At 35.4% G+C, this 16242-nt stretch overlaps 1 gene segment (V, D, J or C) and 1 further gene, besides 2 other annotated features; both read left to right on the top strand.

Moving 5' to 3' along the window:
* Nucleotides 1-16242, top strand: part of IGK (immunoglobulin kappa locus) — a 1378008-nt gene that overhangs the window by 29139 nt on the left and 1332627 nt on the right.
* Nucleotides 10796-10844: a sequence feature (IGKV5-2 leader sequence).
* Nucleotides 10796-11285, top strand: IGKV5-2 (immunoglobulin kappa variable 5-2). The segment is given in 2 exon segments: nucleotides 10796-10844; nucleotides 10990-11285. Coding segments are annotated over 2 exon segments (345 nt in total), but the record flags the coding sequence as incomplete, so codon positions are not given.
* Nucleotides 10990-11000: a sequence feature (IGKV5-2 leader sequence).

The raw sequence follows: 16242 nt of genomic DNA on the forward strand, positions 1-16242 counted from the left end.
ACAGGGTCCACTCAGTTTTACGCACAGATGGGTCAATTCTTTCCTCTATGTGCCTCCTTGACTCTGGAAAGTTTCTACTTGGATTCCTAATTCTCTTTTTTCTTTCTTCATCTGCAATCCTTCCCAATATTAAACCTTGATCCTTCCTATTCATAGCCTCCCACATAGAAGGTAGTGTCCCTCTGTAGCTTTTTCCTTCCAGAGACCCTGTTTCTTTCCATCATATTAATACTTTCATAGGCAATTTTCTAATTCTTTATTACTCTAGAAATATGTGACAGCATTTCTCATTGCCTTTTACAATAGTTTGCCAACTTTCTTCTTATTTATCATTTTTCCATTTTTAATTTTCATGGTATACAGTAGAAAGATTATATATACACACACACACACACACATATATATATACACATATGTATATATATTTATGGGGTACCTGAGATGTTTAGATACAGGCATGCAATGTGTAATAATCACATCATGGAGAATGGGGTCTCCAGCCCCTTAAGCATTTATCCTTTGTGTTACAAACAATCCAATTACACTCTTTTAGTTATTTAAAAATGTATAGTTAAGTTATTATTGACTAAAGTCACCCTGTTGTACTAGCAAATAGTAGGACTTACTCATTCTTTCTAAGTATTTTTTGTATGGATTAACTATCCCCACTTTCCCCCTACTCCCCACCCCTGCCCACTACTCTTCTCAGCCTCTGGTCGCTATCCTTCTAGTCTCTATGTTCATAAATTCTATTGTTTTCATTTTTAGACTCTTCATATACATGAGAATAAATGATGTTTGTCTTCCTGTACATGGCTTATTTCACTAAACGTAATGACGTTCGTTAGTTCCATCCAAATTGTTGCAAATGACAGGACCTCATTCTATTTTATGGCTGAATAGTACTCCATTGTGTTTATGTACTACATTTTCTTTTTCTGTTCATCTGTTGATGGACATTTAGGTTGCTTCCAGATCTTAGCTATTGCGAACAGTGCTGCAACAAATATGGGAGAGCAGATATCTCTTTGATATACTGATTTCCTTTGTTTTGGGTATATACCCAGCAGTGGAGTTGCTGAATGATATCGTAGCTCTATTTTTAGCTTTTTGAGGAACCTCCAAACTGTTCTCCATAGTGGGTGTACTAATTTACATTCTCACCAACAGTGTATAAGGGTTCCTTTTTCTCCACATTCTTGCCAGCTTTTGTTATCGCCTGTCTCTTGGATATAAGCCATTTTAACTGGGGCGAGATGATATCTCATTGTAGTTTTGATTTGCATTTCTCTAATGATCAATGATGCTGAGCACCTTTTAATATGCCTGCTTGTCATTTGTTTGTCTTCTTTTGAGAAACGTCTATTCAAATCCTGTGCCTATTTTTGATTGGATTATTAGACTTTTTCCTATAGAGTTGTTTTAGCTCCTCATACATATTATGGTTCTTAATCTCTTGTCAGATGGATAGTTTGTAAATTTTTTCTCCTATTCTGTGGTTGCCTCTTCACTTTTTTGATTGCTTCCTTTGCTGTATAGAAGCTTTTAAACTTAATGTGATCCCATTTGTCCATTTTTGCTTTGATTGCCTGTGCTAGTGGGGTATTACTCACGAAATCTTTGCCCAGACTGATGTCATGGAGAGTTTCCCAAATGTTTTCTTGTAGTAGTTTCATAGTTTGAGGTCTTAGATTTGTCTTTAATCCATTTTGATTTGCTTTTTCTATATGGTGAGAGATTGAAGTCTAGTTTCATTCTCTTGCATATGGATAGCGAATTTCCCCAGCATTATTTATTGAAGAGATTCTTTTCCCTAGTGTAAATTGATGACATCTTTGTTGAAAATGAATTGACTGCAGGTATGTGGATTTGTATTGCAGGGTTCTCTATTCTTTCCATTGGTCTATGTGTCTCTTTTTTATGCCAGTGCCACCCTGTTTTGGTTACTATAGCTCTGAGTATAATTTGAAGTCAGGTAATGCAATTCTTTCAGTTTTGTTCTTTTTGCTTAAGATAGCTTTGGCTATTGTGGGTCCTTTGTGGTTTAATATAAATTTAAGGGTTGTTTTTTCTATTTCTGTGAGAAATGTCATTGGCGTTTTGATAGGGATTGCATTGAATCTGTAGATTGCTTTGGGTACTATGGAAATTTTAACAATGCTGATTTTTCCAATCCTTAAGCATGAAATATCTTTCCATTTTTTGGTGTCTTCTTCAATTTCTTTCATTGGTATTTTATAGTTTTCATTATAAAGATCTTTCACTTGTTTGGTTAATTCTTATGAATTTAAGTATGGTTATTGTAAATGGGATTATTTTTAATTTTTTGTCAGAGTGTTCACTGTTGGCATATAGAAATACTGTTGTTTTTTTGTATGTTGATTTTGTGTCCTCCAACTTTACTGAACTGGTTTATCAGTTCTAAGAGTTTTTTAGTGGAGTCCTTAGGTTTTTCAAAATATGAGATCATATAATCGCCTAACAAGAATAATTTGACTTCTTCCATTGAATTTTTGATCTCCTTAATTTCTTTCTTTTGTCTGATTGCTCTAGCTAGGACTTCCAGTACCATGCTGAATAAGAGTGGTGAAAGTGGGCATCCTTGTCATGTTCCAGATCTCTCAGGAAAGGCTTTCACTTTTCCCCCATTCAGTGTGTCTGTTATATATAGTTTTTATTATGTTAAGATATGTTTCTTCTACATCCAGTTTATTAAGTGGTTTTTATTTATTTATTTATTTTTGTTTGTTTGTTTTTTACACATCACTTCTTTTGGCCATTCCTAGCTCCAAGAGGGTCTGTGTTGATGTTGTTATTGTTTTCTAATAAGGAAAAAGAGGAAAACTGAGGTTAGGAGACAAGTAGCCACCTGTGTACAGGGTCAGACATAAAGTCAAATGATCACTGATGGAGCTCTGGTGATAGGCCTCTCTTAAAAATCACCAAACTTAATGCAAAATCCTAAGGACTCCATACCTAAAACCCCCTAAAATGAGATCAGTGAAAATGAGCAGTGGGCAAAATTGGGACCCATGAGAATGTATCCAGTAGGATCATGATCAGTCAAGCAAATGGGTTTAACTTGGCTTTCCTGGTTTATTATTATTTATTTCCTGGTTTATTATTATTATACTTTAAGTTCTGGGATACATGTGCAGAACGTGCAGGTTTGTTACATAGGTATACACATGCCATGGTGGTTTGCTGCACCCATCAACTGATCATCTACATTAGGTATTTCTCCTAATGCTATCCCTCCCCTAGCCCCCGCTCTCCCCCCGCAGGCCCTGATGTGTGATGCTCCCCTACCTGTGTCCATGTGTTTTCATTGTTCAACTCCTACTTATAAGTGAGAACATGCAGTGTTTGGTTTTCTGTTCCTGTGTTAGTTTGCTGAGAATGATGGTTTCCAGCTTCATCCATGTCCCTGCAAAGGACATGAACTCATCCCTTTTTATGGCTGCATAGTATTCCATGGTATATATGTGCCACATTTTCTTTATCCAGTCTATCATTGCTGGGCATTTGGGTTGGTTCTAAGTCTTTGCTATTGTGAATGGTGCTGCAATAAACATACGTGTGCATGTGTTTTATAGTAGAATGACTTATAATTCTTTGGGTATATACCCAGTAATGGGATTGCTGGGTGAAATGGTATTTCTTGTTCTAGATCCTTGAGGAATTGCCACACTGTCTTCTTTGGTACGTGTAAATTGTTGAACTAATTTACACGTACCAAAACAGATATATAGACCAATGGAACAGAACAGCGGCCTCAGAAATAATGCCACACATCCACAACCATCTGATATTTGACAAACTTGACAAAAACAAGCAATGAAGAAAGGATTCCCTATTTAATAAATGGTGTTGGGAAAACTGGCTAGCCATATGCAGAAAACTGAAACTGGATCCCTTCCTTACACCTTATACAAAAATTAACTCAAGGTAGATTGAAGACTTAAATGTTTAAGATCTAAAACCATAAAAACCCTAGAAGAAAATGTAGGCAATACCATTCAGGACATAGGCATGAGCAAAGACTTCTTAAGCATTTTTTTGATAGAGTAGCACAGATAAGTATCTGTCTGTTTTTTTTTTCCAACTGTATTTCCTTCTGCTCTATTTTTTTCTGTCTCTGCAACTTCAAATATTTGTAAATTAATTATTGAGAAAATAATAATAGTAATAATAATAATTATTATTATTTGAGACAGTGTCTCACTCAGTCACCTAGGCTGGAGTGCAGTGGTGCAATCTCAGTTCACTGCAACTTCTGACTCATGGGTTCAAGCAATTCTCCTGCCTCATCCTCCTGAGTAGCTAGGTCTACAGGTGTACACCACCAAGCCTGGCTAATTTTTGTATTTTTAGTAGAGACAGAGTTTTACCATGTTGGCCAGGCTGGTCTGAAACTCCTGACCTCAAGTGATCCGCCCACCTTGGCCTCCCAAAGTGCTAGGATTACAGGCATGAGCCACCGCACCCTGCTGAGATAATGATTTTTTAATCAAATAACTAAGTTTTCTTTCTGTTCTCTATATATTGATGTATGTTGTATATTGTCATTGAAATTTTGATTATACTCACCATGGGATATCTTACTTTGGAATAGGTGGCATCTCAAATACAATTTATTTCCTTTGGCAGAAGGGGATTATTTTGTTGTGAATTCAAACCTTCATTAACTTCAGTGTAACATAATACCATAAGTGATGTTTCCTGTTATTAAATCACAAACAGTATTAGGAATGAGAGGCTGAAGCAGGAGAATGGCTTGAGCTCACAGATTTGAGGCCAGTTTGAGTGACATAGTGAGACCCCTTGTGAAAAAAAAGAGAAAATTTTAAATGCGGTATATTTAAAACACATATTTCTAGACATTTATTACTGGTATATGGAAATCATGTTTATTATCTAATATCATAAACTCTGACATGATCACTATCATTTCTTTAGTTTTTAATAAATTTTCAGCATTTGTGTATGTCATATGTATTTATTGATTGACATAGACCTTAATGTCTTATAATATAATACAGAAGTGGACATGAGCATATTATAATTTAATTAAAAAAATGAAAGAATTTCCACTTAGAAGACCACCATAGCTGTTGCTATAAATGCAGAAATAAACACAAACTTAACTAAAAATTCATGTGTATGATGACATCGGAGAGCTACAGAAGACACAAAGGTTAGATGACCTAAAATTCTAGAGAAGAAATAGACCTCTGTAGGTGAGGTAAATCTGAGCTCTCATTTAGTTCTTTTTTTGTGTGTGTGGTTTCCATGGAATCTATTTAATCAAAACTGCAGAAGGTTCTAGAAAAACACATTTTTAACCAAGGACTGCCGATGATTCTAAGTTTTGAGTAAAACTGTGGTTGGGGGAAACAATTTTCTGCTTTATTGTGTGTCCGAGTACATACATGATAAAAGTAAAAGCCAGGGAATGGAATAAAACATAGCTTTATATAATATATTAGTAGATACCTAAATACAATATGGTCTTAAAAATGAAGTCATATGTATATAGTTGTATTCCTAAGTATGTTAGTCCCCCCTCATCCACAAATCTCCTTTCTGTGGCTTCAGTTACTTATAGTCAACCACAGTCTAAAACACATGAGTACTGTAAAAGAAGATATTTTGAGAGCGAGAGGGACCAACCAAATTCACATAACTTTTCATATTAGATCTTAGTGATGCAAATTAGATCTTACTCATACAAATGAGACATTGAATTAAGTCTTTCTCTCAGTCTGACCCTTAGAATTGTCTTTTGTAAGATTTTAAAATGCATCAAGTAATACTTACATATGTAACAGCTGACCCCTGAGCCATCACTGACACAGATGGTACCAGGACTGCTGTGCACAGACAGGCTTTCGACTCTGAGTAGTAGACACAAGTTTGCTGTATTTGCAGCCTCCACTTGAGGGCTTGGGGGTTCCCTGGCCTGGCTACACTGATAGCACAACTGGCTTTGACTCTATCCCCAATTCCCCTTCCTCCCTATCCCCTATGCAAATCCCAGTAATTCTCCAGGTGATATCCTGGGGATTTCCTTGGGATATTCTTGGTCTTCATCCTGCCTTAGAGAAAACTGATCCTCAGAGGCCTCACCTGATCCAGAGTTTTAGGTTTATCCTGACCCAGACTCTAATTCCAGGGTTATCCTCTTGAGTTGGAGGAAGAAATGGTGATTTTTAAAAGATAATCATCTATAGGATCAGTAGTCAGAGGCTTCATGCTGATGAGCTGTAGGAAATAAGATCAAATGGCAGCAAAAGGGTGGAATACGGAAGTTTCCAAAATAATAATAAGGTATAGCCCATTTGGTTCACTGGAAATTAAAGAGACCCATGGCCTTGAACAATGATGTATGTGTGAGTTACACACCCTTCAAAGAAACATGGTGTTATCTTTGTGTGTCTGCACTGAATAGCTTGGTCATATAACGGTAATAAGAATGGCAGCAAAATGCCCAGTCATCGCCCAATGGGCTCATGAACAAAGTGATCGCAGTGGCAGGAATGGAGCTTATGCATGGCCTCAGTAAAATGGACTTTCACTCCCTACAGCTGATCTGGCTGTGGCCACAGCTGAGTGTCCAATCTGTCAGATGCAGAGACCTACACTAATTCTCTAATATGGCACCATTCCCCTGGGTGACAAGCAGCTACGTGGTGGCAGGTTGATTACATTAGACCACTTCCATCATGTAAGAAACAGCATTTCATTCCTACTAAAATAGATGCCTACTCTGGATATGAATTTACCTTCCCTGAACACAGTGCTTTTGCCTGAACTATGATCCATAAACGTACAGAAAGCCAATAGTCCTAAGCAAGTTTATATTCTCTGGACACAGTTTTTAGCTGCTGCAATCAAACATGATTTAATTAACTTACCATGGGTAAGTGGCTTCTCTTCCTTAGCTAACAAATGTGCCACTCAAAAACTTAGTTTTGCGGCAGCCTCATTTTCATTTTTTAATTTTGTGAATAAATTCTGTTATGAACAGCTATTGTGTTTTAAATTTTTCTAATTTTTACAAATCATGAATAGGTATTGGATTTTGACAAATGCTTTTTCTGCACGTAATGATATAATCATATGAAATTTCTTTCCTCTCAATCTGTGTATCTTTAATTTCCATTATTTGTCTTATTATATTGGCAGAACTTGTAGTACTCTGTGGAAAAGGAAGTAAGAGGGAACATCCTTTCCACATCTTAGCAGGAAAGCTTCTAATTTCTCACCATTAAATATGGTGTTACATGCAGATTTTTGTAGATGGACTTCATGACTTGCATCTACAAGAGGAAGTTCTCTTCTATTCTTAGTTTACTGAGAGTTTTTTCTTTATAATTAATGAGTATGGGATTTCTTTAAATTCTTTTTCTGCGTTTATTGATATGATTATGTATTTCTTCTTAATCTGTTAATATGATGGATTACATTAATTGGTTTACTAATATTGAACCAGCCTTGCAGATGTGGAATAAATCCCAATTGCTTATAGTATATAATTCTTTTTAGATATTGTTGGGTTCGATTTACTAATATTTTATTGAGGAATATTGCATCTATTTTCATGAGCAATATTGGTCTGTAGATTTTTTTAGTAATTTCTTTTTTTTGGTTTGGCATTCTGATTATGCCAGTCTCATAGAAACAGGAAGTATTCTCTCTTGCTTTTCTCTTCTGGAATATATTGTAGAGAAGTGGTATAATTTCTTCCTTAAATATTAGATAGAATTCACCCATAAATCCATCTAGGCCTGGTGTTTTCTGTTTTGAAAGCTTATTAATTATTGATTCTACTTCTTCAATAGATACAGGTCTTTTCTGATTTTACTATTTCTTCAGTGTGAGCTTTTGTAGATTGCATTTTTCAAAAAGTTGGTTTATTTCATCTAGGTTATCAAGTAAGTGGGCACAAAGTTATCTATAGTATTCTTTTACTATTTTTTTTAGCATACATAAAATCTATAATGATGTCCTCTTTTTAATTCCTTGATACTTTTCCTTGCTCTGAAGTCTGGTCTGTCTGAAATTATTCTGGTTTTCTTTTGATAAGTGTTAGCATGGTATATCTTTCTCCATCCCTTTACTTTTAATCTATATGTCTTTATATTTACAATGGATTTCTTGTAGACTACATATAGTTGGGTGTTTTTTATAATGTGGCTGACAATCTCTTTTAATTGGTGTAACAATCCACTGATGTCTAAAGTGATTATTAGTACATTTGGATTGATGAATAATGTTTGTTATTTCATATTTGGTGCTCTGGTTCTTTTTGCTCATTTGTCTCCACACTTTTTTTCTGTCTTTTGTGATTTCAATTGAGCATTTTGTATGATTCCATTTTCTTTCTTTTCTTAGCATATCAGTGATGGTGATCTTTTTTTTTGTTTTTGTTTTTTACTTTTTAAGTAGTTGTACTAGGGATTGCAATAAATGTACAATTAATCCAAGTCAGGTTTTATTTACTTTTTTATGCTAATTTTTTTATTAGAATGAAAGCTATAAATAAACACATTACATAGAGAAAACTTTTAATATATATTCCTATGTGTAGATTATACAAGTGATGTTTGCATACATTCTTGTTATTAAGAAACTACAATGAAGTATTTAGATTAAAAAGTAAAAGTCACTCTTCATACACCACTAGTGGTCTTTCTACTGTTCCAGTGATTTAATAAAATAATTTTTAATTGTTTTTCCAAAATATTTTATTATTAAATAATAATTTTTCATATTTATGGGGTACCTGTGATATTTTGATATATGTGTGTGTGATAAACAAATCAAATGTGTAATAAACAAATCAAGATATTTAAGACATCCATCACTTCAAACATTCATAATTTCTATGTGTTGAGAATATTCAAAATCTTCTCTTTTAGCTACTTTTAAATGTACAATGTTATTGATAGCTATTGTCACCCTATGATGCTATCAAAAACTTATGCCTTTTCTCTAACTGCATGTCTGTACCCATCAACCAACCTCTCTTTATTCCCCCCTTCCCAGCTTCTGGTAACTATTCTACTCTCTAGCTCCATAAGATCCACTACTTTAGCTCTTACATATGAGTGAGAACATGAAATATTTGTCTTTCTGTGTCTGGCTTATTTCTAAGTGCACTTTTAATTAACATTAAATGTTTCATGGGTAGTGCAAATATGTTATGATAATAGTAGCTATTAATCAAAATTCTATGTATTACTGCTGTTATATAATTGTGTGGCTTAATAAATCGAAATTAAATTGAAGTATAATTAATTTTAACTCTCCAGCCTGAGTATTAAAACAGGAACTACTGATGCTTAGGCAGTAAGCACTGTGAGTAAATCATTACAAAATAAAAGCATACTCATAAACATTGTAACAAAACATATCAAGGAGTTATTATAATTCTCCCAAGAGTTTAGAATCTCCATGTTTGAAAATTGCTGTAATAATGCAAAGCAATTTTCCACAGTATTAGAAGTAAAAACTAAGTTTAAATATTGTTATATTTGATAGAAAAGAACATTATTCTCATATGAAGATTCAAATTATCAATTATTATTGAGAAAAACAATTTAAAAATTATTTTTTCCTTGTAATGGAGGATCCAGTGATATGATAGAATGCATAAGCAGACATTTTGAATTATATGAAAGCTGATCTTGCTATTCATGTTACTATTATATTTTCAAAGTAATAAAATATTTTTGAGAAAATTCTCTTCCTGTTTTAAGAAGCAGCCCTGCATTTTTATTTTGCACTGGGGCTCACAAATTATGTTGTTGGTTCTGTTTTCCAGTAATACATATCAGATACCAGCAATGCTGAAGTTTGGAAACTTTCTAGAATGCTTTTTGTTTCATTAGGAAGAGTCCTCCACCTCCATGATTCCCTTTGCCTTCTAGAAGAATAAAATGGGAAAAACAGAATTTTATTATTAAAAAAAAAAACCCAGAAGAGTAACATCACTTTCCACTCAAACTGACTACACTAATCTAATTTCTCATTCTTTATCTCTTTTACACTAAGGTATACCTGTAATTTTCAGAGTTCCATTTTCAAAGACTGCTTATAGTTTTTAAAAATGTGCATTTATGGTATAGAAAGAAAATCATTTTACGACTACCAGGTTCCACTGAAAAGTAATTAATATACTGTAGTCAAAATAAAATAAAAATTTTAATACATGAAAACAACTACCGAAATGTTATGAAATTATAGTTTAGTAGAACTAACAAGTGCATTAATGCAAAAGAAAAGTAGGGCTCAGTAATCAGGGAACCAAGTGTGCATTGTAAAAGTGCAGCCTCTCTAACACTGGGTTTCATCACAAGTAACAGAACAGGATGCCTGATGCAGGGAAAAAAGAAAGGCAATTGTTGGCAATGTCAGGAATATTGCCATGGCGTCTACCACTGGTGGGTTACTGAGCATCAGAACCACAGAAGAGGTAACACTGAAGCCTGCAGAATAATGAGTCTTGTTGCAGAAATGCAAAGAAAAAGAAAGATGATAAATGCACACCCAGGAGGTTACGTTAATTTTAACCTTCTGAGTGTGCACAGCTGTGAAGATAAAACTATGCACAGCTCATGGGTTAGGTTTCACACAGTCTGCCATTTAAACACTCCCTATGTCACCATCATGTACCATATAATTTGCATATTTGTCCTTTATATAACCCTATAATATGTTTGTGGCCATAAAATCTGTGCTGTCAAACTGATTAGGAACTGACTACCACCTGCAGGTCAGGGCCAAGGTTATGGGGTCCCAGGTTCACCTCCTCAGCTTCCTCCTCCTTTGGATCTCTGGTAAGAGAAACACTTCCTCTCCTCTGTGCCACCAAGTCCCCTGCATATCCACAAAAATAATATATTTTCATAAGGAATTGATTTTCCTCATTCTCTGCAAATATGATGCATTTGATTTATGTTTTTTACTTTGCTCCATAATCAGATACCAGGGCAGAAACGACACTCACGCAGTCTCCAGCATTCATGTCAGCGACTCCAGGAGACAAAGTCAACATCTCCTGCAAAGCCAGCCAAGACATTGATGATGATATGAACTGGTACCAACAGAAACCAGGAGAAGCTGCTATTTTCATTATTCAAGAAGCTACTACTCTCGTTCCTGGAATCCCACCTCGATTCAGTGGCAGCGGGTATGGAACAGATTTTACCCTCACAATTAATAACATAGAATCTGAGGATGCTGCATATTACTTCTGTCTACAACATGATAATTTCCCTCTCACAGTGATACACCCTGTTACAAAAACCTCCAAGTTCTCTCAGTGGGATTGCCTCAGCTGCTGCTGAAAATGTTCAGAATGTGGAACTGGGTGGCCCTGTGGTGTTTATAAGGCTTCTCCATGCCCATGCAACTCACTTCCTTTTTCTTTTTGTTTCTGTAGTTTCTGCTGCCCCCATGCTGTGCCTGACACACTTGATATGGCAAAAACCAGGACAGCCTTTCTCACGTTGTCCAGCTGTGCCAACAATTTCACTTCCAAGCAGAGGTAAATTCTCATGGCCAACTCCCTGTCTTTTGCCACACTCATCATTTCCACCTCCAAGAAAAACAAAACCAAAAACCAAAATGCATCTAGCTTAGATTCCAAATAGTAGCATTAAAGGAAATTGTCCCTCCCTATAAGCATTCTCACCCTCATCCACACAGTCATCGTGACTCTTCCCTAACCCACTGAGTGCTCACCAGTCCTCTTCAGTCCTCCCTCCAGTGATGGGGAAAAGCGAGTGATAGTTATGAGAGCAACATGTAACCTGGGTGCAGACTCTTACTAGTCAGGTTTGCCTCAGATTTCAAGTATTTATCTTTCTTTTATTTTCCATTTTTTTTCTTAATTATATGGATCAGTAAGATGTCTCATTTCTTTTTTTTAAGTTACTTGTTCTTTTAACACAATTCAATTCTATAATTCCAAATTTAAAGAGATACCCTGTATGTCTTTGGCATGTGTTATATCTGGACAAGTTTTGGGTTATCCCCTTCATGCCACTGCTCAAATCTTACCTGAAACCCCACATATTTTTCCAAAAACCTGAAAACTGTGTAGCGGTTGAGGAAATTAAATTTGGCAAATCACAATACTTGAGGAAACATGTATCTTTTTATCTTCACTCTCTAATGTTCAGGTGATGCTGTTTAATTGAGCATTTGCTATTTAGAATCACCCCTCTGAAACTTGTGGGAAAACAGCACCAGCAAGGCAGTCTTCATGTTTTGACCTCATTATTCCTGGATTATGCTAGCCTTCTTGCTATTGTTCTACTACAGCCACTACCTGAAGAAACCTCATGTAGGATTGTTTCCTAATGAAATATTAAGATTTATCTGCAATTATCCCTAACTCTGCAAACTTAACTGACTTCTCAGGTTAGTATTTAATAGCCATCAAATAAGGAGTGGCTGAAATAATATTACCAAGGAAGGAAATAATTGGATCATAGAAATGAGGGCTTTGTGGTTATTGCATGGTGAAGACCAACAAAGGCCATTGCAACCAGTAATAATATGCACAATGATGAGCTCGTAGTTAAGAGCAATTTCTGTCTTAGTTTTACTGTCACTGAACTGGGCTGGAACCCTGGAGGGCAGGGTAGATGAATGATAATCAAAAACATGATTTCATATGTTAAGTTCTTTGGAAGGCTCAATTTCGGAGATTTCTCCCACTTTCTATAAGAGCAGACATCAAAGAATCTGATTCTGGAATCTCGTTTTTTCTCTTACAGCTCTCTTTTTTTCTACTCTAATCTCTTTTCCGCTTCCAAGGACATACATTGATAAATATGGTCAACAGAATATTAAGGTGATGTCAATATTAGTGACTACCCTATAAGAGGGAACAGAAACATTCGTGTTTGTAAGCTTTTAGTCCTCACTTAAGCTTCTTTCTTGAGTAATGTAATCGCTCCCCTTAATGTCTGGAGCAGACATTAGTAAGAATAATAAATAGTATGTTTAGTCTCAAAGATGGTGAATACAGAAAGTGGTCAGAATGTGAACAACACTATTAAGTATTTAGCTAAAAATAAAACTATTGAGTTTTGTAAATTCTTATCAAGTCTTCTCTAAGATTGAAGCTCCAGGTTTTAGTGAAAATCCTGTCCAGGAAATATTACATTATAATCCCTTTCTCTCTGTTCCCATCTACCTTAGGCTCATAGTGACATGAAAGCAAATTTCCATCCTCTGGGAATATATAAACCCGGATTATTTCTTTTTATATAGATGCTCTATCCCTTGCCTGTGTGCTATTTTCTTACTGAGTCACTACCTTGCACCATGTACACAACCCCCAGTGGTTTACGATAGGATGAACCTATTGAAGCAGCTAGCAGAGAAAAGGTTATTTATGTGGGTAACTGTGTATGCTTGTTGGACATTCCCTGGGTCTCTCACACTGTTACCACAGCAGCATTATAAAAACATCATCTATCTATCTCTCTATCTATCAATTGATCTATCTGTCAATCTATCTATTGTCTATCTCCATAAACACACAAACATACTCACATTTGTGTGTGTGTGTGTGTGTGTGTGTGTGTGTATGTATACAGAAGAAATGATAAAAGTTATATATGTCTTATGTCCCAAACTTTAGAAAGGATATGTAACATGTTAGCAATCTTTGAACACACTTGCTGGAATATAGAGTAAAATACTTTGTTGCTGGTATATCAAACTGTAGTAGATAATCCTTCTGATTTCCAAACAGGGTATACAAATGCACCTTTCCACCAGCAATGTATGAGGGTTTCTATTGTTCTACATGTCCACCAATACTTGGTATTGTAAAACTTTTTAATTTAAGCCTTTCTTCTACATGTGTAGTAGTATCACTCCATAATTACGATCTGTGTTTGTGGGATTATATATGGATTATATATGCTTGTAGGGCATTTGACCATCCTCTGGGTTAAAATTTCTGTCAAATTCTGCCCATTTTACTAATGCATTTTCTGATTTAGTTGAACAGATATGTATGAAAATATATATATAACATATGCGTGATATATATCAGCGTGTATCTGCCTATCATCCATCCATCTATCTATCCATCAATCTGAATGTTTGTGCTCTGCCAAAATTCATATGTTGAAATCTTAATCTCAATATGTTGATCAAGATTGAGCCTTGGCAGGTAATTAGGCTGTTAGGGTAAAGCCCTCATGAATGGAATTAATGTCTTTATAAGAAGAAGTGAAGAGACCAGAGGGCTAGCTAGCTCTCTGCTCTTAGCCACATGAGGATGCAAGGAGAAGGTCCTCTACAAACCTGGAGTCGGGCTTCACTATACACCAGATTGGCTGGCACCTTGATCTTGAACTTCTCAGCTTCCAGAATTGAAAAAGTTTCTGCTGTTTAACCCTGTCCATCCCCCAGTTTATGGTAGTCTGATATAGCAGCCTGAACTAACATCTGTATCTATATTTATACAATTATAGATATAGATAGAACCAGTATTTTTTCGCATTTGTCTCTGTCTCTGGTTTACCTTTTTACTCACTTAAGTCTGTAAATGGAATCATTTTCTTAATTTGTTTTTCAGATTGTTTATTGTTATTGTAGAAATGCAACTTTTTTATTTTCTTTCCTGAAACTATATTTAATTTATTTATTAGTTCTAATATTTTTTGATAAGTTTTTTAAAAAAATTTATTTTGTTTTAAGTTCCAGGATATATGTATGGATGTACAGGATGTGCAGGTTTGCTACATAGGTAAACGTGTGCCACGGTGGTTTGCTGCACCTATCAACCCATCACCTAGGTATTAAGCCTTATGTACATAAGCTATTTATCATGATGCTCTTCCCCTATCCCCCAGTGTGTGTTGTCCCTCCCTGTGTCCATGCATTCTCATTGTTTAGCTCCCACTTGTAAGTGAGGACATGAGATGTTTGGTTTTCTGTTCCTGTGTTAGTTTGCTGAAGACAATGGCTTCCAGCTCCATCCATTTCCATGCAAAGGACATGATCTCATTACTTTTTATGGCTGTATAATATTCCATCGTATATGTACCACGTTTTCTTTATCCAATCTATCATTGATGGGCATTTGGGTGGATTCCATGTCTTTGCTATTATGAATAGTGCTGCAATGAATGTACATAAGCATGTATCTTTGTAATATGATGATTTACATTCCTTTGGGTATATACCCAGTAATTGGATTGCTGGGCCAAATGGTATTTCTGGTTCTAGGTCTTTGAGGAATTGCCACACTGTCTTCCACAATGGTGGAACTAATTTATATTCCAACAGTTTAAAAGTGTTTCTATTTCTCCACAGCGTCACCAGTGTCTGCTGTTTCTTGACTTTTTAATAATTGCCATTCTGACTATCATGAGATGGTATCTCACTGGGGTTTTGATTTGCATTTATCTAATGATCAGTGATGTTGGGCTTTTCTTCATATATTTTTTGGCCACATATATTTTGAGAAGTGTCTGTTCCTGTCATTTGTCCACTTTTAATGGAGTTGTTTGTTTTTTTCTTGTAAATTTGTTTAAATTCCTGGTAGATTCTGGATATTAGACCTTTGTCAGATGGATAGAGTGCAAACATTTTCTCCCATTCTGTAGTTGTCTGTTCAGTCTGATGATAGTTTCTTTTGCTGTACAGAAGCTCTTTAGTTTAATTAAGTCACATTTGTCAATTTTTGCTTTTGTTTCAATTGCTTTCGATGTTTTTGTCATGAAATATTTTTATCTGGGTATGCTGAAGAATAGTTTTCCTAAAAGTTATATATTAATAAACAAAGAGTTAGTGAGAGCACTAGAATCAGAGAATATATGTAAGAGTTTGTTCAAAGCAGGGTCTTAAATTTTAGTCTCATTGCAAATTTGGATTCTATTCCTCTTGAATGGACTACTGAAGAGATATAAAGACCATGAGGAAGCACGAAAATATCTGCTTTGCTGCCTCAAGGATGTTTAATTGCCCCATTGATTCTCTTGGGAAAGAATTCTCCCATTGTTGCTCACTGATTCTCAAAGATTAGAAGTAAAAATAACTTAGGGGATTTGTGACTAAAGTTCCCATGCCTAGAGATACTGACCTCCTACGTGGTGTTGAGTTTACCTTAATTCTTGAAGGATGCTTAACTTTGAAGGGAACTCTAGCTATATGGCTACTTTTTCTTATCATTTTAAGGAAATTTTATGGTCTCTGCTTTTCCTC

This window comes from Homo sapiens, chromosome 2 (assembly GCF_000001405.40).
Source record: "Homo sapiens chromosome 2, GRCh38.p14 Primary Assembly".
Lineage (NCBI taxonomy): Eukaryota > Metazoa > Chordata > Mammalia > Primates > Hominidae > Homo > Homo sapiens.